A 25,474-nucleotide genomic window follows, 5' to 3' on the forward strand; every position below is an offset into this window, starting at 1 on the left:
CACGAGGTCAGGAAATCGAGACCATCCTGGCTAACATGCTAATACCCTGTCTCTACTAAAAAATACAACAAAAATTAGCCGGGCATGGTGGTGTGCGCTTGTAGTCCCAGCTACTCGGGAGGCTGAGGTAGGAGAATGGCGTGAACCCGGGAGGCGGAGGTTGCAGTGAGCCGAGATCGCGCCACTGCACTCCAGCCTGGGCAACAGAGCAAGACTCTGTCTCAAAAAAAAAAAAAAGAGAGAAACATATGTAAAACAAGGTTACATATTGATCAACTGACAAAAATGATGTGGCCAGAGGCTATGTACGATTCAGTATTTGCTACTTCAGTGTTCACAGTGACTTTATAGAACATAAGCACCATGAATAATGAAAATGGAAAAATACAATAAACGAAAGAAGTAGAATATAAAGTACATGTTCCCAAGAGTTATACTATTTATTATGAAAACAAATGGGAAAAATGTAAGATGAACTCAGTCATCATACAGGGTACTAGAAATAGGGGCAATTTGCTTTTTAATTTCCTTAATATGGATATAAAAAGTATATGATGAAAATATTTTAAAGTAACTCAAATTGGAAAAGTGTAACTGTGTAACAGTAAAGTATGTGTATTATTATTATTATTTTGAGACAAAGTCTTGCTCTGTCGCCCAGGTTGGAATACAGTGGCACAATCTTGGCTCACTGCAGCCTTGACCTTCCAGGCTCAGGCAATCTCAGCCTCCCAAGTAGCTGGGACCACAGGTATGTGCCATCATGCCTGGTCTGGCTAATTTTTTAATTTTTTGTAACGACAAGGTCTCACTATGTTGCCCAGGCTGGTCTCAAACTCCTGGTTTCAAGTGATCCTCCTGCCTTGGCCTCCCAAAGTGCTGGGATTATAGGTGTGAGCCACTGTTCCCATCCTATGTGTATTATTAACATGTAGATCTCAAATATACAATTTTGTATATACACATTAAATAAAACATCTAGACTTCATCCCTTTCTGTCCCCATTACAATGATAAATGTGTGTATATGTTATTTTGTATGCTGACTTGACTAGTTCTATTAGGCATGTAGAAGATTCCATAGATTAGGCTCAAAACAAGAACAATTCTTTATAAAACATAAATAAAATGGTTCTTTTACAATAAGCACCAAAAAAAGGAGAAAGAAACCCAAGTCATGATATCCCACTCTTCTGAGGCATTCACATGCACAAACCAACAAGCACAAAGCACTCAACACAGCAGCCTATTTTTAATACAGAAAAAGAACAATACAATCAGTTCATCTGATAAAATAATTTCAAAAATTGTTTTTGGCTAGGCGCGGTAGCTCACACCTGTAATCCCAGCACTCTGGGAGGCCAAAGTGGGTGGAACACAAGGTCAGGAGTTCGAGACCAGCCTGGCCAACATGGTGAAACCCCATCTCTACTAAAAATACAAAAGTTAGCTGGGCATGGTGGCGCATGCCTGTAGTCCCAGCTACTCGGGAGGCTAAGGCAGGAGAATTGCTTGAATCCAGGAGGCAGAGTTGCAGTGAGCCGAGATCAAGCAATTGCACTCCAGCCTGAGAGACAGAGCGAGACTCCGTCTTAAAAAAAAAAAAAAAATTGTTTTCATGCAGCTGTTGATATTAATAGTAGAAAAATTAGGATCCTAAGGAAAGTTTTGTTTTAATTTTTCCTATGTCATATTTTGCCTTTTTTGATAGAACAGCTTTTATAAAATCATTTGACCTCTTTGGGCAACTTAAAATTAATTGTGACTTGACTTACTTTCCTATATGTTGGCAGAGGGTGAGGGCAAGGAAGAGAGGATGATAAAGTTTGGAACCTTAAAAGATTGCATTAAGAATAAAAATATGATTTCAGGAGCCAAACATGTGTCTACCCAAGAGCTGAGCAGGCAACTACCAGAATGTCGATGTTTATACGACGTCAAGCCAACGTCATCCCCAATCAGGGCTCTCTTCTTGATCACGTCCCGCTGAATACGACGGGAATGATATCTTCGCTTCCTGCAAGAATGCCAAAATAAGCACACAATCAAAAACTGATAGGAAGGACCTTGAAATCCACTATTTCTTTCTCTTTTCTTTTTTTTTTGTGATGGAGTCTCAATCTCTCTCCCAGGCTGAAGTGCAATGGCACCATCTCAGCTCACTGCAACCTTTGCCTCTTGGGTTCAAGCAATTCTCCTGCCTCAGCCTCCCGAGTAGGTGGGATTACAGGCGCCCACCACCATGCATGGCTAATTTTTGTATTTTTAGTAGAGACGGGGTTTCACCATGTTGGCCAGGCTGGTCTCGAACTCCTGACCTCAGGTGATCTGCTGGCCTCGGCCTCCCAAAGTGCTGGGATTACAGGCGTGAGCCACCATGTCTGGGCTCGCTAATTCATTTCAACTACACGTTGACACAATGTTAGGTACTAACACAGATATTTTAAATGTAACTACAATTCAGCATTCCCCATCATTTACCACATCTAAGAATCTTGAATTCTTCCCTCTTGTTTTCCTTCCAGTTTACACAGGGTTTAGACATTTCACCACGGAATACCAACTGAAGGATTAAGAAAAACTCAAATACTATTGCATTTGAAGGTTTTGGACTCACCATGAATTGCTAAGAATTCCTTTCATGCCTCCATAATTTGGATTCCCATATTTCATGTAATACTGACTTCTTCTGGCTGCTCCAAGTTCCTTTTTGTCATCTAAAAATTAATGACAATAGTTACCTAGGATTTCCTGTGAGTGTAAAGACAATGTTGAATTTTTTTTTTAATGTTTTCCATAGCTGGAATCAGATCAGCGCAATTTGCCAACAAAAAGTAAAAATCCACTACCAACATTCACACTCTGAGTGCCCACTACAGCAATGCAGTGTAGAGGGGATAAAGCAAAATACAGAGACGAATGAGGTTAAAACTGCTGTTTGGAGCCAGATGACTTAATGGAGAAAACAAAAATAAACAATACAAGATACAAGGTTCCAAAAGGCATAAAAGAGCTTTAGGTCATTACAGGTACCCAGGAATCAAAAAGACTTTCTCAAAATAGTGGCATTTTTGCCACCCCATGAAAGATGATATTCACTTCTGAAGGATCACATGCCAACAACACAGCATCAGGATTAAGGAAACAGACTACATATAATTCCATATATTTGGTAAATCATTTTTCCAGTTTATTGTGCTCCTCAAAATGGCTTAAAGAAAACAGCATAATACTATACATGTAGAATGTACTCAGCCACTCAAATGAGTAAATGTGGTAAAGATCACATTTGTCAAGTTGAAATGTCAGTTAACAGGAAAGAAAGGTGGTCAGTCATCATAAATTTTTGTCAAAAGTAGTAATACAAAGACCTTCCACAGTTCTTGGACACTCTGACTGTAAAGAACAAACACCACTGTAAATATATCCAGGGCTGTAGGTAAACGTGACAACACAAACCAGTATGTATAGCCCCCAACCCCCGAACCCCTCAAACCATGCCCACCAGCTCCTTGGAGAAATGGCTGATTCCAGATGTGGAGCAGGTAAGATGCAAAATGAGTCTGGAAAAGCAAGATGTTTTGTTGTGCCATAAAGAAAGAAAGTGCTTAAAGAATCATGGAGTATGTCAAAACAGCTTGAAGGGGCTCTACTGGCCAAATCCAAGACAATTTGTAAATTAAAATACTGATATTAGGCTGGGCGCGATGGCTCACGCCTGTAATCCCAGTACTTTGGGAGGCTGAGGCGGGCGGATCACAAGGTCAAGAGATCGAGACCATCCTGGCCAACATGGTGAACCCCATCTCTACTAAAAATACAAAAATTAGCTGGGCATGGTGGCATGCACCTGTAGTCCCAGCTACTAGGGAAGCTGAGACAGGAGAATTGCTTGAACCCAGGAGGCAGAGGTTGCAGGGAGGCAGAGGTTGCAGGGAGGCAGCGGTTGCAGTGAGCCAAGATCGCGCCACTGCACTCCAGCCTGGTGACAGAGCAACACTCCGTCTCAAAACAAACAAAAAAATAAATAAAATTAAATACTGATATCCATGGATGATAACCCACTGAATAAAGAATCCATGATTCTAAACTGATGTAAATAAACAAACAGGTAAAAACAGAAGGCTCTTCCTTAGAGCACCTGTCTACTGGTAAAGAAATGACATAGTCAGAAAGGCATGAAGCTCTGATGAGCAAGAGGCTATTTACGTGATCTCAAAGTATCTGCCCACCAATTTTTTATTTTAATCATTTTTTTATTTTTTAAAATAGGGATGAGGTCTTGCTATGTTGCCTAGCCTGGTCTCGAACTCCTGGGCTCAAGTGATCCTTCTGCCTCAGCATCCCAAAGTGTTGCAATTACAGGCACGAGCCACTGTAACCAGCCAGCCCACCAATTTTTAAATTACAAATGGAAGAATAGCAACTTTACAGTGGAAAAACCTAGTGATGATTACCTTAACCAAGTGAATAAAGTGAACGTCCCTAGGACTGGGACGAGTAAGTATCCAGGGCCTCCTGACATGATGCTCTGGAAATGACATGACATCGCTTCTGTGGCACGCCTGTCTCAAATGCACAACCCAAATTCAATCAGGAGGAATCATCAGACAAACCCAAACTGAGGGACATTGTATAAAATAGTAAACCTATATTCTTGGAAAACATGGGAGGATAGAAGTAGTTTCAGCTTAAGGGGGACTAAGGAAACATTACATACTTACACACTCAGTCCTGGATGGATCCTAGACCTGGGGCTGGGCGGGGAATATATAAAGGACATTATTGGAACAACTGACAAAATTTGAAAATCGACTACGGATTAGGTAACAGTACTGTATTAATGTTAAATTTCTTGATTTTGTTAAGTGTGCTATGTATAAAACAATGTTCTTATTCTTTGGAATACATTTAGGGGTGATGGGTTTTTATCTTCAACTAACTCTCAAATGATTAAAAAAACCAATATGTGTATATGTGTATAATACATATACATACATACATACATACACACACACATACACACACACATACACATACACACACATATACATACACACACATACATATATACACATACACATACATACATATACATACATACACATGCATACATACACACATACACGCGATACATACATACATATACATATATACACATACATACACATACATATATACACATACACACACATTTTTAAATGCCCACCAAAAGTCACCATGTGTAAACAATCTTATGAGAAGGGAATTAGAACCGAATGGTACACTGGCAATGTTCAGGAGGACGTTGCTGTAATAAATAAAGTTTCATTTGAAAGTTTTCATAATTCAGATGGTAACTGGCTGAAAATATATGAGGCAAACCAGTTTCAACAGAAAATAACTTTAGCCAGAAGTCACAGAAATATACAAATAGTTAATATTCACTTTTAAAGTCAGAAATTCCAACTCAGGTGGCAAGCAATTATTTCATAAGCGCAGAATATTATAGTTTGAAGGGAACTTTGAGATTACTTGATCTAACTTCTATTCAAAAAAGAAGGATGTCACTCCATAATAAATCATTTTGATTGAAAATATAAAACAATACCAAATATTACATTTACCTTTTGTAGCAAATCTCATGAATAACCTATTTCCTTTAGCAAGTTTGTTAGCTGGACGAAGATCGTTTCTTAACAAAGACTCCTCTTCTACCTGAGACAACGTATCCAACTTAAGAAAGAAGAGTATTTTTAATATAAAAATTAAAGTCCTTTTGATATTTCTTCAGTAGTAAAGCTACCATTAAGAAAAGCATTCTACCTTTAATACTTACAAGCATTATAGCACTAGTTCCGCTGTAGAATTTCTAACTCAGAGATTTCCCCTGCCCACCTTGTCTAAAAGAACAGTCTCCATCATTCTCTATCCCCTACTCTTTTCACAACACTCATTGCCACCTGACACAGTATGAGATATCTGTGCATCAGTGTATCCTCTGCACTCCCCACTAGAATGCAGGCTCCGAGAGGGCCAGGACTTTGTTTTGCTTGAAGCTATATCCCTAGCACTTAGAATATGGTATATAATAGGTACTCAGTAAATATTTTTTAAATGAATGCATGTTAATATTTTTAACAACAGTACATAATCCATTAGGAAGTATGCCATTACTTGCTGTTTCTTCATTTTACTAATTAGATAACACTTCAAAGTATTTCTCAATAAAACTATTTTCTTTTTTTGTAGAAGCATAAGCACTATTCTAAGATTTCAAGGTGAATCGCTATATCCACACTAACTTAAAGGACAAGAGCCTGGTGCACCCTCAGAAGGTCTAATGGTGAAAGCTAGAGAAAAAACGTAACTAAGTCTTTAAGGCTTAAGTTAAAAAGACAGTGAGCAATTTTTTACAATAACTTTACATCTATCTTTCCCCTATTACTAACCTCTACATCACTTGAGTTCTCATCTTCAACCTCTCCTTCTTCAGCTTCATCATCATCTGAACTGTCTTCCTGCTTGTCTAAAATGGAATGTGAAGGACAAGATGAAACAAGATAAAATATTTCATATAATGAGATACAAGATGAACTATCTCATATAATTTTAAAAGTCCAGTATTTTCTCCTATTTCCTGATGATCTCAAGCATCATAGATTAGTTCAGAAACACTTGGTGATGAGATGCTATATAGAGCTCTGCTCAGAAACAGGACTGTGTAAAGAAGAGGACTTTCAGACCCCAGTTCCCTCCTTTGTGTTGTTACCTTTTTTCCTTTTCTCAGCTGACTTGTCCTCACTGGCATCCCTGCTTCTGATCTTATCCTGTGCAGGCAGGGAGCTCATATTGATAAGTGCTCGTGTGGCTGTCATTTCATCCAGCCAAACTACATTACCTAAAATAAAATGTAAAATAAGACATTACACAGCATGGAAATGGTAAGCTTCTTGAGAGCAGATTCTGCATCGCATTCATCACTACAGCCTCATCTAGCAACAGATTATCATCAGTAAATATACAAACCAACTAATGAAGAGAAATATAGACCAGGCATGGTGACTCACACCTATAACCCCAGTACTTTGGGAGGCCAAGGCAGGAGACTCGCTTGGAGTGAGATCATCCTGGGCAACATAGTGACACCCTGTCTCTACAAAAAAATACAAAAGTCATGGTGGCATGAGCCGGTAGTCCCAGCTACTTGGGAGGCCGAGGTGGGAGAATGGATTGAGCCTAGGATATTGAGGCTGCAGTATGCCAAGGTCACACCACTGCACTCCAGCCTGGGTAACAGGGTGAGACTTTGTCTCAAAAGAAATGAAAAGTTAAAAATAAATAAAAAAGAAAGAAAGAAAGAGAAAGAGAGACAGAAAGAGAAGGAAGGAAGGAAGGAAGGAAGGAAGGAGAGAGAGAGATGAAAGAAAGAAAAAGAGAGAGAGAGAAAGCACTTTGGGAGGCCGAGCCAGGCGGATCACGAGGTCAGGAGATCGAGACCATCCTGGCTAACACGGTGAAACCCCGTCTCTACTAAAAATACAAAAAATTAGCCGGGCGTGGTGGCGGGCGCCTGTGGTCCCAGCTACTCGGGAGGCTGAGGCAGAATGGCGTGAACCCGGGAGGCAGAGCTTGCAGTGAGCCGAGATGATGCCACACTGCACTCCAGCCTGGGCGACAGAGCGAGACTCTGTCAAGAAAAAACAAAAGGAATGGAACAGAATGGAACGGAACGGAAAGGAAAAGGGAAGGGGGAAGGGTAGGGGGAAAGGGGAAGGGGGAAGGGAAAAGATGGAAGGGAAGGGGAGGGAAAAGAAAGAAAAGGGTAGTAAAATCTCTCTGATGAAATTAGCCTAGAGCTGCGTTTCCAAACTGGGTTCCACAAAATAACTTAAGTATTCCATGAAAAAGAGTTGTGTATATTTAAACTACTTGGAACAGAACACAGGTAGTTAAACACTCAATATGTAAGTATTAGCAGTTCTTGATAACTGTCAAGTAAGTTTGGATTGTCCTTTACACTACCGCCCCCTACAGGGAAGCCCTTTGCTGCTCCTTGTCAGGACATGCTAAACGAATTCCCCCTTCATCATTCCCATTGGAAAACGTGGATGATGAAGGTATCCCTGGGATATGTAGAATGGAGGCATGACAGCCAGTTGGCTTTGTAGCAACTAATTTAATGTGCCTCTTTAAGGAAGATAATTTAGCAAGAAAAGAGCTTTGAGAAATCTTACGGAAAATAAACTTAAAAGAGTATTTCTCAAAACTATGCGTCCCCTATATCTCAGTTTGGGAAATGAAGCTCTGAGGCTCTCACTTCTGTTACTAATGTGCCATGTGGCCTGAGGCAAATATGTTCCTTCCTCTGTTTCTCAGGTTCTGATAAATAATACAAGGTAGGTGAACTATGTAATTCTGAGAGTCCCTCCAATTCTAATATACCTTAGTCACAGTTTTAATGACTTAAATCAGGGTTAGTAAACTATAACCCTCAAGCAAAATCTAGCCCACCACCTGTTGTTTATTTACATTTGTACCAGCTTTATTTAGGTTTAATTAATGTACAATAAACTACACACATCTACCACCTGCTTTTGTTTTTGTTTTTTCTTTCTTTTTGAGATGGAGTCTCACTCTGTTGCCCAGGCTGGAGTGTAGTGGCACTATCTTGGCTCACTGCTGCCTCTGCCTCCCAGATTCAAGCAATTCTCCTGCCTCAGCCTCCTGAATAGCTGGGATTACAGGTGTGCATCGCCACATGAGGCTAATTTTTGTATTTTTAGTAGAGACGGGGTTTTGCCACGTTGGCCAGGCTGGTCTTGAACTCCTGATCTCAAGTGATCCTCCCGCCCTGGCCTCCCAAAGTGCTGGGATTACAGGCCTGAGCCACCGTGCCTGGCCTACCGCCTGTTTTTGTAAATAAAGTTCTACTGGAAAACAGCCAGACTCATAGCTTCTGTATTATTTATAGTTGCTTTCATGCTACCACAGCAGAGCTGAGCAGATGTGACAGAGACCGTTAAGCCTACAAAGCCTCAAGTATCTGCATTCCAGCCCTTTACAGAAAAAGGTCTGCCAATTCCCGATTTGGATAGTGTAAGTTAAACAGAAAGAAAACAGGAGAAAAATGTTTCACTCAGTCATGTTTGTCTTTCAATGAAAACATCTTCCTACGAGAGCAGCTAAGAAAACCGGCTGCCATCTAGGGTGCTACCCAGCAGGTCAGCCAGCTGGCAGCAAGTAAAGCCAGACTAGAAGTAAGTCAAGACAAGAAGCCAGCAAAGCAGTAACAAGAGGTCAGGCCAGACTTACAGTAAGCAGGCAAGTTAAAAATTACAGTTGGCCCACAAGTTGGAAAGCTCATGGGTCAGGGCAAGCAGGTGACATTCTAGAACACACAGTTCAAGGCAAGCAGAAATGAGAAGTCTAGTAGAGTGTTTAGCTCTAGGTCATTCTGTCTATTCAGAATGACACTCTGTCCAGTGTCTATTCTGGTCTATCTCTAGGTCAGAGACACAGGCAGAGTCAGCCCTCTGAGTAACAGTACAGAAGGCAGTAATGACAAAGTCCAAGGCTCTGAAAATGCAGCCCCAAGTCTACGCAGTTGGATCCTCTCCTTTGTTGGGAAAAGGTGAGTGTTAAAGAGGCCTCAATCAACTACGGCAGATTCAGAGGCCAGTAACCCACCTCCTAGAGCCCTGGCCACCACCTCTCAGCTGACGTGGGACACTATGGGGTATGAGCTGGCAGACTGGCAAGGGCATGCTGCGTTTCACTGCTCGACAATTTTTTCTCTCCTGGACTAACAGCAGAAGTTCGGCATAAACAAGTAGTATGGGCCAGAACCATTCACCATCTCTGATGGCAAGAACTCTTGAAAAATCATCAACAAAAGCATATTCACAGGAAACTCGGGTGTACTTACAGGAGGTATCATCCAACCATTCGATGTGAGCTGGAGGATATTCTTTAAAATAGGAAAAGACATCTTGGGTGCTCATCTCATCTACTCCGCAAATATAGATTGTCTCCAGTCTCACCTTGGGGATTGCTAGAAAGACAAGACACAGAAAAGATGATAGAATTTTCCTGTCCGCAACTGCACATCCCATCCACACTCCTTCCTAATAGTTCAGACAACACGAGTTTAGAAAGAAACATGCTGAGAGAAACTATAATTATTTCAAAAGAGCACGAGACATAACAGTAAGGTAAACTATCTTAATTTTTATCACTCAACGACAGCATTAATTCAGAACAGGCCTATCAGGCTCAGAAAGATTAAACAAAGGGTGTTGATAAAATACACGATACCTCTCCCCACATTAATCTGTAGCAATCAGAGCACTATCAAGCTCAACAGGAGTATTTGTTGAAGTTAGCCAGCTGCTTCTAAAATTTTTAAATGTATGTTAAAGAGAAACGCGCAGTAGTGGAGACAATTCTGAAAGAGAAGAGATGCTGCCCGTGACTATGTCAAAGCATGAAACTAAAGAGATGCTACAAGTCAATTAAGAAGAAAAAGACAACCCAAAATAAAAATGGGCAAAGGACATGAGTAAGCAATTTACATAAAAGGAAATACAAAAGGCCAATAAATATATGAGGAGATGGGTTGACCTCACTACCAATCATTAACATGCACATGAAAACAAGAAGACACCAGTTTTCACGGACCAGATTTTACACCTTATTTTTCCTGCGTCTCTGGTCCTTGAATCGAGATATCTTACATCTTTTAGTGTGAAGTGCTGGCAGTAAGTAGGGGAAAGGCTTACTTCCCCGGCTGGTGGGCATCGTCACTGCGGAGGGCAAATGGAAGGGTCTGCAGAAAACGTGATTTTGCACGTGCCCTACGGACCTAGGAACTCCAGTCCTCAGTATCGCCCCTCAACAAACACATACATGTGGGCTCACGAAGTAGCTCACACGAAGATGTTTGCTAAGGCACGATTTCTAATAACCCAGTAGTTACCAGGGTAATAAATTATGCTTTATCCACATTATAAAATATTATGTGGTAAAAAATGAGATAATTATATACCACAGAAAGATTCTAAGATGTATCACAGAGTGAAAAAACAAGTTGTAAAAAATTACATGCAAGGTGATGACATTAAACAATACCATACATTTACTAAGGGTACATATTTATGTACACAGACACCCAGAAAAGGCCAATATGAGTCACACTGATAACTGCTGTTACTTCTGAGGAGGCAGAAAGGTTGAAGGCTATGGTCAAAAAAGAAACTTAGCCTTATCAGGACTGCATACTTTTTATTTTTTGAGATGGAGTCTCGCTCTGTCGCCAGGCTGGAGTGCAGTGGCACGATCTCGGCTCACTGCAACCTCCGCCTTCTGGGTTCAAGCGATTCTCCTGCCTCAGCCTCCCCAGTAGCTGGGACTATAGGAGCGTACCACCACACCCGGCTAATTTTGTATTTTTAAGAGATGGGGTTTCACCATGTTGGTCAGCATGGTCTCCATCCCTTGCCCTCGTGATCCACCCGCCTTGGCCTCCTAAAGTGCTGGGATTACAGGTGTGAGCCACGGCGCCCAGCCAATTGCGTACTTTTTTAACTACCTTTTTTTTTTTTTCTTTTTTTTTGAGATGGAGTTTCACTCTTGTTGCCCAGGCTGGAATGCAATGGTGCAATCTCGGCTCACTGCAACCTCTGCCTCCCAGGTTCAAGCTATTCTCCCGTCTAAGCCTCCCAAGTAGCTGGGATTACAGGCATGCGCCACCACGCCATGCTAATTTTGTATTTTTAGTAGAGACGACGTTTCTCCATGGTGGTCAGGCTGGTCTCGAACTCCCGACCTCAGGTGATCCGCCTGCCTCGGCCTCCCAAAGTGCTGGGATTACAGGCATGAGCCACCACACCCGGCTTTTTTTACTACATATTTTAAGTACATTATCTCCTTTAATCTCAATTGCAAAATTTGTAAATATATCAATAAATAAACTTAAGGTCGGGCGCGGTCGCTCAAGCCTGTAATCCCAGCACTTTGGGAGGCAGAGGCAGGCAGATCACGAGGTCAAGAGGTCGAGACCATCTGGCCAACATGGTGAAACCCCATCTCTACTAAAAATACAAGAAAATTAGCTGGGTGTGGTGGCAGGTGCCTGTAGTCCCAGCTACTTGGGAGGCCGAGGCAGGAGAATGGCGTGAACCCGGGAGGCGGAGCTTGCAGTGAGCCAAAATCGCGCCACTGCACTCCAGCCTAGCGACGGAGCAAGACTCTGTCTCAAAAAAAAAGGGAAAGAAAAAGTAAATTTAAAATATCTATATATCTACTACCTAGCTTTATGCTTAATTCGTTATAAGATCTCAGGCACACAAAACATTACATATGAAACTGGGGCCCACAGTACCTCTCCACATCCCTTCTTTCCCTTCCTTCTCTGAAGCAATTCTGTCAAGGGGGTGGTTCATGGGTCCATAAGAAAATAGAAAGAACAAGATCTACTGTTTAACAGCACAGTAGGGTGACTACAGTCAATAATAATTTAATTGTAAATTTTAAAATAACATAAAGAGTGTAATTGGATTGTTTGTAACTCAATAAAAGCTTGAGGGGGCTGGGCACAGTGGCTTACACCTGTAATCCCAGCACTTTGGGAGGCCAAGGCGGGTGGATCACTTGATGTCAGGAGTTCGAGATCAGCCTGGACAACATGATGAAACCCTGTCTCTACTAAAAATACAAAAATTAGCCATGTGTGGTGGCATGTGCCTGTAATCCCAGCTACTTGGGAGGCTGAGGCAGGATAATCACTCGAACCTGGGAGGCAGAGGTTGCAGTAAGCCGAGATTGTGCCATTGCACTCCAGACTGGGCGACAGGGCAAGACTCCGTCGCAAAAAAAAAAAAAAAAAAAAGAGGATGGATACCCCATTCTCCATGATGCGCTTATTTCATGTCACATGCCTGTATCAAAACATCTCATGTACCCCATAAATATACCCACCTACTATGTACCCACAAAAATTAAAATAAATAAAATAATAATGTAAAAAAGAATTTAATGGGCAGGCGCGGTGGCTCACGCCTGTAATCCCAGCACTTTGGGAGGCCGGGGCGGGCAGATCACAAGGTCAGATCGAGACCATCCTGGCCAACACGGTGAAACCCCGTCTCTACTAAAAATACAAAACAATTAGCCAGGTGTGGTGGCAGGCACCTGTAGTCCCAGCTACTCGGGAGGCTGAGGCAGGAGAATCACTTGAACCCGGGAGGCGGAGGTTGCAGTGAGCCGAGATCGCACGACTGCACTCCAGCCTGGGTGACAGAGCGAGAGGCCATCTCAAAAAAAAATAAAATAAAATAAAAAATAAAAATAAAAAAAGGATTTAATGTCTATTACTACCAAGCATGTTTTTACATGCTATTAACAAAATTTAAAAATTTTTTAGCCCATCCTTCTTCTGCAGATATATGCTATTACTTCCATTTAAAACAAAAAAAATTTACAAACAAAAAAATGCATTTAATAATTTTAAACACATAATAATTTTAAATCTCAAAGAGTTAAGAGATGGGTTTAACATGAGCCCATGTAAGTGTGGCCAGACTAATTCAGTTGAGTGCTTTCCTGACATCCCAGATTTAAAAAGATAAAGACACCATGAAGATTTATGAATCCAGGTGGGCATGGTGGCTCATGCGTGTAATCCCAGCACTTTGGGAGGCTGAGGTGGGAGGACTGCTTGAGTCCAGGAGTTCGAGAGGCCAGCCTGGGTAACACAGGGAGACCCCATCTCTACAAAAAATTTTAAAAATTAGCTGAGTGTGGTGGTGTACAGCTATAGTCCCAGGTACTCAGGAGGCTGAGGTGGTATGATCGCCTGAGCCCAGGAGGTTGAGGCTGCAATGAGCCATGATCACACAACTGCACTCCAGCCTGGGCAACAGAGTAAGACTTTGTTTCAAAAGAAAAAACCACCATGCTCAGCTAATTTTTTTATTTTTTGCAGAGATGGGGTTTTACCATGTTGCCCAGGCTGGTCTTGAATTCCTGACCTCAAGTGATCTGTCTTGGTCTCCCAAAGTGTTGGATTACAGGTGTGCACCACTGCACCCAGCGCCTGCATCTCTCTCTTTTTTTGTTCTTTGTATCTTTACCTGCTTCTTTTGAACAGGATTATCCATTGCCCAAGTTTTGATGTGTACGACTTTCCCTAAATTAAAATAGACATGTGAGGCTGGGTGCAGTGGCTCATGCCCATAATCCCAGCACCTTGGGAGGCCGAGATGAGAGGATTGCTTGAGCCCAAGAGTTTGAGACCAGCCTGGGTGACACAGTGAGACCTTCTCTATTTTTTTTAAAAAAAAAGACATCTGAGGCCAGAAATTTTGTTCCTTACACTCTTTCCTGTTTGCTTTTAAGGTATTTCTTCACCTGTATGTAGGTTTTTTTAATGTTGTAATGTTAGAACAATGTTATGATGCTCTTGATAATTATTTTTGTCATTTTTTGGTCTTTGTTTTCTATGCTAGTCTCATTTAAAATTAAATTTTTTGTCAGATCAATAAGTCTCCCTAATGTTTTCTCCCTAATCCTCAGTCTGTTCCCTCTACTATCACTCAGGACTCTCCTTGCTTTCTGCTGCATTCTAGGAAACCATCTCTTTACTTCCCTTAGGCTGTTTCTGTTCCAAAGTCATGGCTTTTAATTCCAAGAACCGAGAAGGCCCTTGGACTCAATAAACCTTATCCGCATTTAGGCCTCTGTTCACTATTGCACTGCCGGTCACTAATAAGGATTTCCTGGGGTTCCCTAGAAAAGAGAAGGTAGCGAATTTTAGGTGAGCACAACTGACCAAGGCACACATGTAGGAGAGAGACGGATTACAATGAGAATGGCACAAATCTGAACGACTAATGCCAGTCTACACAGTAACATGGAAATGCTGACCATAGACTGTCCAGGGAATGGAAAAAAGCAGTGTGACTGCAAAGGAGAAAAACAAAAGTTCACTGCCATAAGAGATTAGAAGGAAACACACAGACTGTTGACAATGACGGGGTTTGGATGGTAGACCGTGGGCAACTTTTCTTCCTGTTCTATGTTACAAATTTTCTTTGGTGAGCATGAACTGTTTGTAAAAGAGCTAATGAAGAAAAGATTAGAGTCCAGAGTGAACAGGCTCATCAAAAATGCTGACAGCAGGCTAGGCGCGGTGGCTCACGCCTGTAATCCCAACACTTTGGAAGGCCGAGGCGGGCAGATCACCTGAGGTTGGGAGTTCAAGACCAGCCTGACCAACATGGAGAAACCTCATCTCTACTAAAAATACAAAATTAGCCAGGCGTTGTGGCTCATGCCTGTAATCCCAGTACTTTGGGAAGCTAAGGCGGGAGGATCACTTGAATCCAGAAGTTCAAGACCACCCTGGGCAACACAGTGAGACCCCATCTCTAAAAAATAAATAAATAAATAACCAAATCTTTCCCACAGGAAATGACAACAGTTCCATAAGAAGCAAGCTCCAAGACTGTGGATGAAACAAAAAAAAAAAAGAAGAAAGCCACACTAACCTCATTTCTTTTTTGATAGGATTACCAGATCAAGAAATTCAGAGAATACATAGACGGTGCTCTATTTCAAGTTCATTAAGCCACGTAATCCAGTTCCTCATGACAGTAAAAGGAACTGTGGGCCTTATGGTAATAGAATAAGACTTATGATACTGGAAGACACTGCCCACCCTTCACCAACCACTGGATGAAGAAACAGAAGCCACGTGTACACAATGGAGAGCAAGAAGCTGAGGAGTAGAGCTAGGAGCTGAAAGGTAGAGTTACGATGAAAATGCACTCAGCAGACTGAAAGCAGAGGTTTGAAATCAACAAGATGTAATTTAATAGGACTACATTTAAAAGTAATTTTTTTAAAAAAGTGCCTCAAGTACATGATGAGAAAGACTGTTCTGATGGGCACAATTCCTGGGGAAAAGACCTAAGTGCTTTGGCTGCATATAGGATGAGTGCAACACTGAAATGGCTGAGACAGAGACAACGGTGAGGAACAGTCCTGCCGTTCTCTCTGTGAATCCAACCATAACTGGAACCCATATCTCACCTCAGAAAGAACATTCAGAAACGGCAAAGCGTTTAGAGAAGGGAGACCAGAAAGTTGCGACACATGAAGCAAAGTTGAGCGAATGGGCAGCAAGCCTGTGCTTCCAGCACCCGAAGGGCTACTGTATGAAAGGACTTCACAGTCACACAGTAACTGACGGACAGAAATTACTAGAAGGCAATGCTCAACACAAGTAAGTACCCAAAAATAAAGTTGCCTGTCTCATAAATAGTTCTCACACTGTCACTTAAGAAACATTCAGGCAGCCGCCAAAAGACCAGTAGGAAGTTTGCCAAAAGGCCTGCAGGGTTGGGCACAAGGTTAACCTAGATGACCTCTGAGGTCTCTTCCAACCATGAGAGTTTGAATCTTGGGCATAAAGAGACTGAACCTTTTTGACACTGAATCGTTCAAATGTAGCGAGTCACTCTTGATGCAGGACAGTCCAGTGTGCCACAGCCCAAACTGTCTGAATGCTGGCAGAGCAGTTAGGAACACACGTTTCAGTCAGATCAGTCTTTGAACCTCAGCCTTGCTACTTACATAGCTGTGGGACTATGAGCAAGTTTCCCAACCCCTCAGCACCTTCATTTTCTCCCCAGTGAAACGGAAATAATCAACACCTTCTCCTCACAGGGCTGTTGAAAGGATCAGTTAATGACACAGCAGAGCGACTGGCACATAGTAAGCACTTAACACACGTTATCTTTTATTATTGTTGTTGGTATTAATAACAAATAACTTGAACTTGACGCCTAGTGTGGATGCAGGAGTCAACATGGTTATTCCAATTTCCTCACTTGCCCAAGAAGCTAGGTCACTTAAATGACGGCTGGGAAGATGGAGAATACCAGATGATGATAATAAGCCACATTAACTGGGCACCTGCCATGTGCCAAGCGCCACTCTATGGACTGTAACATTTTGTTAGAGTCTCCCAGCAGCCCTATAAGAATTCCTGTCATTGGCCGGGCGCAGTGGCTCACGCCTGTAATCCCAGCACTTTGGGAGGCTGAGGCGGGTGGATCACAAGGTCAGGAGTTCAAGACCAGCCTGGCTAACATGGTGAAACCCCGTCTCTACTAAAAATATAAAAATTGGCTGGCCGTGGTGGCAGGTGCCTGTAATCCCAGCTACTCAGGAAGCTGAGGCAGGAGAATCATTTGAACCCAGGAGGCGGAGGTTATAGTGAGCCAAGATTGCGCCACTGCACTCCAGCCTAGGCAACAGAGTGAGACTCCGTCTCTCAAAAAAAAAAAAAAAAAAAAGAATTCCTGTCATCTGCCTTTCCAGATAAGGAAACTGAGATTTTTAGAGGCTAAATAACTTGCCCGAGGCCATAGAGCTAGAAAGTAACAGATTAAGATTTGAATCCAGGTAACTAGGCTTCAGAGCTCATGCTCATAACCATGAAACCAATGGTCCTCAATCCTGTCTGCACATTAAAAGTACCTGAAAAGATGGCCTGGCGCAATGGCTCACACCTACAACGCCAGCGCTTTGGGAGGCCGAGGCGGGTGGATCACAAGGTCAGGAGATCGAGACCACCCTGGTCAACATGGTGAAAACTCGTCTCTATTAAATACAAAAAATTAGTTGGGCATGGTGGTGTGCGTCTGTAGTCCCAGCTACTCGGGAGGCTGAGGCAGGGGAATCACTTGAATCTGGGAGGCAGAGGTTGCAGTCAGCTGAGATCGTGCCACTGCACTCCAGCCTGGGTGACAGAGCAAGACTCCTTCTCAAAAAAAAAATAAAAAATAAAAATAAATAAATAAAAATTACCTGAGAAGATATAAAAAGAATAACTATCAGCCGGGCGCAGTGGCTCACACCTGTAATCCCAGCACTTTGGGAGGCCGAGGCGGGTGGATCACAAGGTCAGGAGTTCAAGACCAGCCTGGCCAAGATGGTGAAACCCCATCTCTACTAAAACTACAAAAATTAGCTGGGCACGGTGGCAGGTGCCTGTAATCCTAGCTACTCAGGAGGCTGAAGCAGGAGAATCGCTTGAACCCGGGCGGCAGAGGTTGCAGTGAGCCGAGATCGCGCCACTGCACTCCAGCCTGGGCTACAGAAAGAGAGGAAAAAAAAAATGCTGGGCAGTGGCCAAGGTGGGTGGATCACGAGGTCAGGAGGTCAGGAGCTTGAAACCCTGTCTCTACTAAAAAATACAAAAAATTAGCTGGGTGTGGTGGCATGCACCTGTAGTCCCAGCTACTCGGGAGGCTGGGGCAGGAGAATCGCTTGAACCCAGGAAGTGGAGGTTGCAGTGAGCCGAGATTGCGCCACTGCACTCCAGCCTGGGTGACAGAGCAAGCCTCTGTCTCAAAAAAAAAAAAAAAAAGAAAAGAAAACCAGTAACTATCCCTGGGACCTATCCAACTCCAACTAATATAAAGTGGTCTGAGATGGGCAGCAGGGTTCCCCAGGGCTCAGGAACACTATCCTAGGCCATGCTGCCTCCTGGACAAAGAATCGACTGAAATAAGCAAGCTTCCCCAGCTGACATCCCACGGCCGACCTTACTGCCTTTTTTAGGAATATCTTTAGAACCGTGAGACTGGAGTTGTACGTTAAAAAAAAAAATTTTTTTAAATTAAAAGTTAACCCCAAAAGTGATCCTATTAAGGTAAGTATCATATTTCCATTTTACAGACAAGGAGACTGAAACTAACAAGGCTCAAGAACTTGTCCTCAGTCACAAAGGAACTGAGACTAGATTCTACGAGGCTTTTGCGCCCTAAAGAGCTCCAACAGATGTGAGAAAACACTTCAAGTGGGTGAGCAGAGATGCTCCACGGGGGAAGTGACACCTGACCAGAGATAAAGCATGGGACAAGGAAGGGCAAATGCACAGAATGAAAGGCATGAGCCGTATCAGAGGCAAGCCGCCTCAAGGAATGCTCTCGGGACCAGAGGTCGACAGGTGTGATAAAGCTATGACGCCCTCGCGGTAGAGTTGTGAGAGAGACTCACAGGTATGCTTGCGCCCGGCTGTGCAGGCACATGAAGGTCAAGCCACACCTGGCCTTCACAGGACTTCTCCTCAAACAGAAACCCCGCCCATGAGGGAAGCAAGGGCGTGTTTCTGACTTGAACTGGTCATGCAGGATAAAGAGTGAAGCAGCTTCCAGAGTTCAGCTCTGCATCCACACTGCTGGGCCCATTAGGACTGACTGAGGAGGGACGCAATATCAGTCGATAGCACCACATCCTACATTACACAGCAACAGAGCAAAGGAGTTAAGGGCAAGGCTCTAGAGTCAAAGAAACTGGGTGTGAATCCTGACTCCACCTTTACTAGCTACATGACCCTGGGCAATTTATTAAACTTCTTTGAGCCTGCTTCCTCTTTATAAAATAGGGATAAAAATAAATTCCTCATACAGTTGTTGTGAGCAACAAAAAAGAAAGAAATATATAATGTGCTTAACGAGTCTAGTAAAAAAGCAAGTTCACAACAAATAGCAGCTATTCTTTCATTCATTCAATATATTTACAGAGCTTTTGCTTTTATCAACCAAACAAGGCTAGAGAAGCTCATACAATACAGCACAGGCCTTTAACATGCATTCAGAAGGCTGCCTACTAAACCCTTTATGAACACCCAAATTTGCAAATAACACAGAGGGAAGCCTTCTGCATTCATGGATTTATATTATAGTAGAATAATAAATAAGAACATAGACTCACTAAAAAAGTAGTAATTTTTCCTTTTATTTATAAATTGCTTTAGAAAACTGCGGCAGATTACTATATACAATAATTCGGGGTGAGTTCTAGGGAGCAAAATACCCCAAAAAAACACAAAGATCAAATCAAATCACAAGTCCAACTGTAAGCGCAGGCTTAAAACTCAGGGCAGGATTAGTTTAGCTTTCTCTGACAACAGGATGTTACTGAGTGGTTTACATATATCAGATATTCAGATTATCAATAGATTCAGAATTTTTTTTTTTAAGACAGAGTCTCGCTCTGTCGCCCAGGCTGGAGTGCAGTGGTGCAATCTCGGATCACGGCAACCTCTGCCTCCCAGGTTCAAGCGATTCTCACGCCTCAGCCTCCCGAGTAGCTGAGATTACAGGCGCCAGCCATCACTCCCAGCTGATTTTTGTAGTTTTAGTAGAGATGGGGTTTCACCATGTTGGCCAGGTTGGTCTCAAACTCCTGACCTCAAGTGATCCACCTGCCTTGGCCTCCCAAAGTGCTGGGATTACAGGCATGAGCCACCACACCTGGCCAATAGATTCAGATTATCAACAAAAGTGTTAATGGCTTTTCCCCACCAATCTCAAAATTGCTCTAACTCCCCGAAAAGAAGGTCTCACTGTGATACACTTTCACTACGTTTAAAGGCAAAGAAAAGTTAACACCTCTACGATAAAAGGAGAAAATGAGTAAGGGTCCTTAGAAGCACAGGTTCGAATCTCAGCTCTGCCACTAACTGGTAACTTTTTCTGGGCCTCCTCAGAAAAGACAATCTCTTATTTCCCAGCTCTAACATCTGAGCCAGCTGACAGCATCTGAACTTTAAACAGGTGACCTCAGAAATGGAGACTTCACAGGTCCCTTCTCACAAGAGTGCTTGGATAAGGAGTGGACACGCAAGGCAAGGCCAGAAGCATGAGGTGATGGCAGGGAAAAGGCACTCTCTGGGGAAATGTGGACAAATTTCCCACAAAACACCCTGTACCTTTCTTCATCATGTCTCGGTCCAAGGCTACATTTCTTTGGGCAAGATTTACTTCCGATCGAAAATGGAAGCGCTTGGCTCGCTGCTCTTTCTTTTCAATTGCTTCCTAGAAAGTACAGAAAAAGTGAAAGTAGTAAAATATGGAGAAGGCGAGTTAAATCACACATGCATCATGATGCATCAGTGACAAACCTGAACTAAAAAAGAAGAAATAAGCAACACTACACCTTGAATCAGTCTGGCAGAGACCTGGATATTCACACTCAATGACTGGGGGGATATGTTAATATCGCTGTAATTTGCAACCATCTCCGACATAACACAGCCTATCACTGTGCCTGGGACATAGTAGGAACTCAGTGAGTATCTGCTGACTGAATGAATAGTCCTTTAAAGTTTATAAAGTTATATGACACTTCATTTGTTATTATCAATTATGCCAACAAATTACAACTAAACAATTTCAACATCCCAATTTTCCAGGTGCAGAAATGGAGGCACAAAAAAGCAAAAAGGTTTGCTGGAGATACTTCAGCTATTAAGCAAGCAGATCTGATTCCAGTGCTATTTCTAGGAGCCCACCTACAACCACTTCACATTGTCTGAGCAATGGTAATCACACCTATCACGCTCTTCCACATTATAACTGCCTGAGCAGTCCACTCCCTAAAGCTAGTCTGTTTAAAAATAACACCGAAGCAAAGAAACTCTCCCTCCTCTTCCAGCCTCGTGTCCACGGAATCACCAGTTTTCATCTCTAAGTGATAAGAACCATTGACACTTTACTGAAAAAATAATCAGCTTTGTAAGTTTCTTCTAAGAGCTAAAATAAACCCAGGTCCAACTGTGGGTTTCTGATGGCTCTTAGGAACCCTTCACTAATTGGTTTTGTTTGTTTTTGTTTTTGAGACGGACTCTCACTCTGTCGCCAGGCTGCCACGATCTCAGCTCACAGCAACCTCCGCCTCCCGGGTTCAAGAGATTCTCCTGCCTTAGCCTCCTGAGTAGCTGGGACTGCAGGTGCACACCACCACGCCCAGCTAATTTTTGTATTTTTAGTAGAGACGGGGTTTCACCATGTTGGCCAGGATGGTCTCGATCTCTTGACCTCGTGATCTGCCTGCCTCGGCCTCCCAAAGTGCCAGGATTACAGATGTGAGCCACCGCGCCCAGTCCCCTTCACTAATTGTATATTGACTTTGCCACACTAATTGAAGGTCTGACTACAGAGAGCTTGTGGGGATTGGTAAAGTTGCAACACTTCTGTTCTTTCCCAATAGTTAACGCTCATTTTCTTCACTGAAGTCTTCCTAGTACAAACAACAATTTACCTTCCTTTAGAAACAAAGTACTAACTCTGAGACTATCACCCTTTTCCCATATACCTGTGTCATATAATGGCAAACAGTGTAAGATTATGAATAGTTTACTTTTTCAATTACAGTAAGAAAAGATTTTCACTTTATTCTCTTTTCTTGTCTAAAAGATGACCAATTCTCTCTCTTTTTTTTTTTTTTTTTTTGCGGGGATGGGGGGCCTTTAAGTGATTGGAAACACAAGAGACACAGATAAACCATAAAAAGGTTAGCTGGGCATGATAGCATCCACCTGTAGTCCCAGCTACTCGGGAGGCTGAGGCAGAGGGATCAATTGAATCCAGGAGGCAGAGGTTGCAGTGAGCCGTGATCGCACCCCTGAACTCCAGCCTGGGTGACAGAGTGAGACTCTGTCTCAAAAAAAAAAAAAAAACACTATAAAAAGGAAGGCACGAAATATATTTTTATTTTTGCTTTTATGTATTCAATACAGCAATATATACTATTATTCAGAAATGTAATACAAAATTCTGTTCCAAACTTAACTGTAAACATTAAAATCAGAAAAAATGTCTAAAACGGAACATCACTGATTAAAGCAACTTACATGTATTGACTACATATAAGGAAAATAATAGGCTTGACTCTATGAGGTGTTACAATGAAGGTGGTAATCTGGTAATAGCAATCATCAGATACAAGGCAATAGTCTTATTAAGGGCCTATTATGCCGACACGGTGGCTTACACCTGGAATCCCAGCACTTCGGGAGGCTGAGGCAGGTGGATCACCTGAAGTCAGGAATTCAAGACCAGCCTGACCAATACAATGAAACCCTGTCTCTACTAAAATTACAAAAATTAGCCAGGCGTGGTGGCGGGCGCCTGTAGTCCTACCTACTCAGGAGGCTGAGGCAGAAGAATCGCTGGAACCCAGGAGGTGGAGGCTGCAGTGAGCCGAGATCGCACCACTGCACTCCAGCCTGGGCAACGGAGCGAGACTCCACCTAAATATGGGGGGCCTACCATCTGCCAGGCACTTTTCATGTTTTGTTTCATTTCAAGTGGAAACAGTACACATTTTTTTAGAAATGGACATACCATTTAAAAAAGCATCCCCCGTCTTGGACATTTTCTTGGAAACGGTTCAACACAGGTATCTAAGTAGAGTGATTTTATCCTTTCATGGCTGTAAGAACACACAAATGCTGCCTGTACCGTTTCAGGATGCATGAAGACATCGTTGTATAACACAAAATTTTTTTTTGTTGCCCCCACTGGAGTGCAGTGGCACGATTTCAGCTCAGTGCAGCCTCAACCTCTCAGGCTCCAGCGATCCTCCCACCTCAGCCTCTTGAGTAGTTGGGACTACAGACCTGTGCTACCACACCCGACTAATTTTTGTATCTTTCGTAGAGACGGGTCTCACTATGTTGCCCAGGCTGGTCTCGAACTCCTGGGCTTAAACGATCCACTTGCTTGGCCTCTCAAAATGCTAGGATTACAGGCATGAGCCAGCGTGCCTGGCCAATAACACAATTTTTTTTAGAAAAAAAATTTAAATCCAGCAACAAAATAAAAGAGGAAATATTTACTGTTATGTCCTAGGGATCAAATTCATTAAGTTCACTTGCTTATCAAGCTGAATAAATAAATCATAGCCTGTCTTACCTTGGAGGTGACATCAATTCCAGTGATGAAGCTGCCAGCCTTGTTTTCATATCTTCTGCTCGTGTCCTAACACAAAGGGGAAGGGTGAGAAATTCAGACAGCAATTGAGGAAAAACCTATAATAAAAGTCGGCCTGACATCTGCAGGTTCTTTTTTCCTTTTTTTTTTTTTTTTGTTGGTGACAGTGTCTTGCTCTGTTGCCCAGGCCGGAGTGCAGTAGAATGATCACAGCTCACCGCAGCCTCGACTCCCCAGGCTCACGCCATCCTCCCCCTCAGCTGGGCCCTCAGGCATATGCCACCATGCCCAGCTAATTTTTTTTTTATTTTGTAGAGACAGGGTCTCCCTATGTTGCCCAGGCTGGTCACCAACTCCTGGGCTAAAGCAGTCCTCCTGCCTCAGTCTCCCAAAGTGTTAGGATCACATGTGTGAGTCATCACAACCAGTCTGGTTCTTTCTGTTTTTCTGTTTGTTTTTTGAGATGGAGTCTCACTCTTATCGCCTAGGCGGGAGTGCAGTGGCACAAACTCGGCTCACTGCAACCTCTACCTCCTGGGTTCAAGCGATTCTCCTGTCTCAGCCTCCTGAGTAGCTGGGATTACAGGCATGTGCCACCACCGCCAGCTAATTTTTTTATTTTTAGTAGAGACGAGGTTTCACCATGTTGGCATACTGGTCTCAAACTCCTGACCTCGGTGATCCGTCTGTCTCAGCCTCCCAAAGTGCTGGGATACAGGCATGAGCCACCACACCTGGCAAGTCTGGTTCTTTTTGAATAGCCACTCTTTTCAAAACCCTTCCCCACCCCTGACAACCTTTTATTAAGAAGCCCCATCCTAGTGATTCCATGGTATCAATCAACCACTCCAATAAGAAGATCAGAGCCTGTCCAAAAACTGAAGTGATTCCATCAACTCCAAGTATCCATGTAAAGAAAATCTAAAGGCTTTTGTGGAAAATGTCAAAAGATAAGGCACAGTCACTTAGCTCCCCAACCCAGTCTGAACGAATTCCTCATGCCCAGCCACCAGGTGGAGCACAACCCTCCACCTCAACGCAGAAGGTCCAGCCTCACCTAGAACTCCTGAGGCAAATACAGCACAGTGCAATGCAAAGGGGATGGGATTTGGAAACCAAGCGAGGACTGAAGCCTCAGCTCTGACAGTCACTAATTACAGGACACTGTATAGTTTTCTTGACCTCTCTGGGTCTCAGTTTCCTCTGTGGTATCTACCTGCCTTCCTGACCTCTTTTACTGCCCTTCCATTAGTACTACAGAAGTTTCCAACAATCCTGGACCCATCCCAGAGCCTCTGTGCTTGTTACTGGCCCTGCTGGGGGAACTCCTTTTCAATCTTCACAAGATTGGCTTTTTGTCATTTAGAGTTTATATGGAACATAAACTCCAGGAGGGAGGTTGAGCTTGATCAAGCACCTAGGGCTGTGCCTTGGTACATAGCGGGGGATGCAATAAATACATGTTGGCCGGACGCAATGGCTCAGGCCTGTAATCCCAGCACTTTGGGAGGCAGAGGCGGGCGGATCACCTGAGGTCAGGTGTTCGAGACCAGCCTGGCCAACATGGAGAAACCCCGTCTCTACTAAAAATACAAAATTAGCCGGGCACGGTGGCACATCCCTGTAATCTCAACTACTTGGGAGGCTGAGGCAGAAGAGTAGCTTGAACCCAGGAGGCGGAGGTTGCGGTGAGCCAAGATCAGGCCA

The 25,474-nt window shown here is 43.0% G+C and overlaps 1 protein-coding gene across 3 annotated transcripts in view, besides 1 other annotated feature; it reads right to left on the minus strand.

The window, feature by feature from the left end:
- The window catches only part of NCBP3 (nuclear cap binding subunit 3), a 44,089-nt gene that overhangs the window by 17,179 nt on the left and 1,436 nt on the right, over positions 1 to 25,474 (minus strand). For all 3 annotated transcript variants that reach the window (XR_007065313.1, NM_001398494.1, NM_001114118.3), the window contains exons 2-9: positions 23,750 to 23,815; positions 20,764 to 20,869; positions 9,907 to 10,032; positions 6,751 to 6,879; positions 6,431 to 6,507; positions 5,606 to 5,714; positions 2,617 to 2,716; positions 1,913 to 2,016 (exon numbers count right to left, since the gene is read on the minus strand). Coding sequence is in view for 2 of the 3 variants with exons in the window: in NM_001398494.1 (NP_001385423.1) it covers positions 1,913 to 2,016; positions 2,617 to 2,716; positions 5,606 to 5,714; positions 6,431 to 6,507; positions 6,751 to 6,879; positions 9,907 to 10,032; positions 20,764 to 20,869; positions 23,750 to 23,815 (817 nt within the window). In the remaining variant the exon portion in view is untranslated. The remainder of the gene's footprint in view (positions 1 to 1,912; positions 2,017 to 2,616; positions 2,717 to 5,605; positions 5,715 to 6,430; positions 6,508 to 6,750; positions 6,880 to 9,906; positions 10,033 to 20,763; positions 20,870 to 23,749; positions 23,816 to 25,474) is intronic.
- Positions 12,876 to 13,055: a silencer, noted in NCBI's record as "fragment chr17:3735506-3735685 (GRCh37/hg19 assembly coordinates)". NCBI's record gives its function as "represses an EF-1alpha promoter that drives an FKBP-Casp9 reporter gene in an ReSE screen in K562 erythroleukemia cells {active_cell/tissue: K562}" and the evidence as "EXISTENCE:reporter gene assay evidence [ECO:0000049][PMID:32094911]".

Source organism: Homo sapiens, chromosome 17 (genome assembly GCF_000001405.40).
Source record: "Homo sapiens chromosome 17, GRCh38.p14 Primary Assembly".
Classification (NCBI taxonomy): domain Eukaryota; kingdom Metazoa; phylum Chordata; class Mammalia; order Primates; family Hominidae; genus Homo; species Homo sapiens.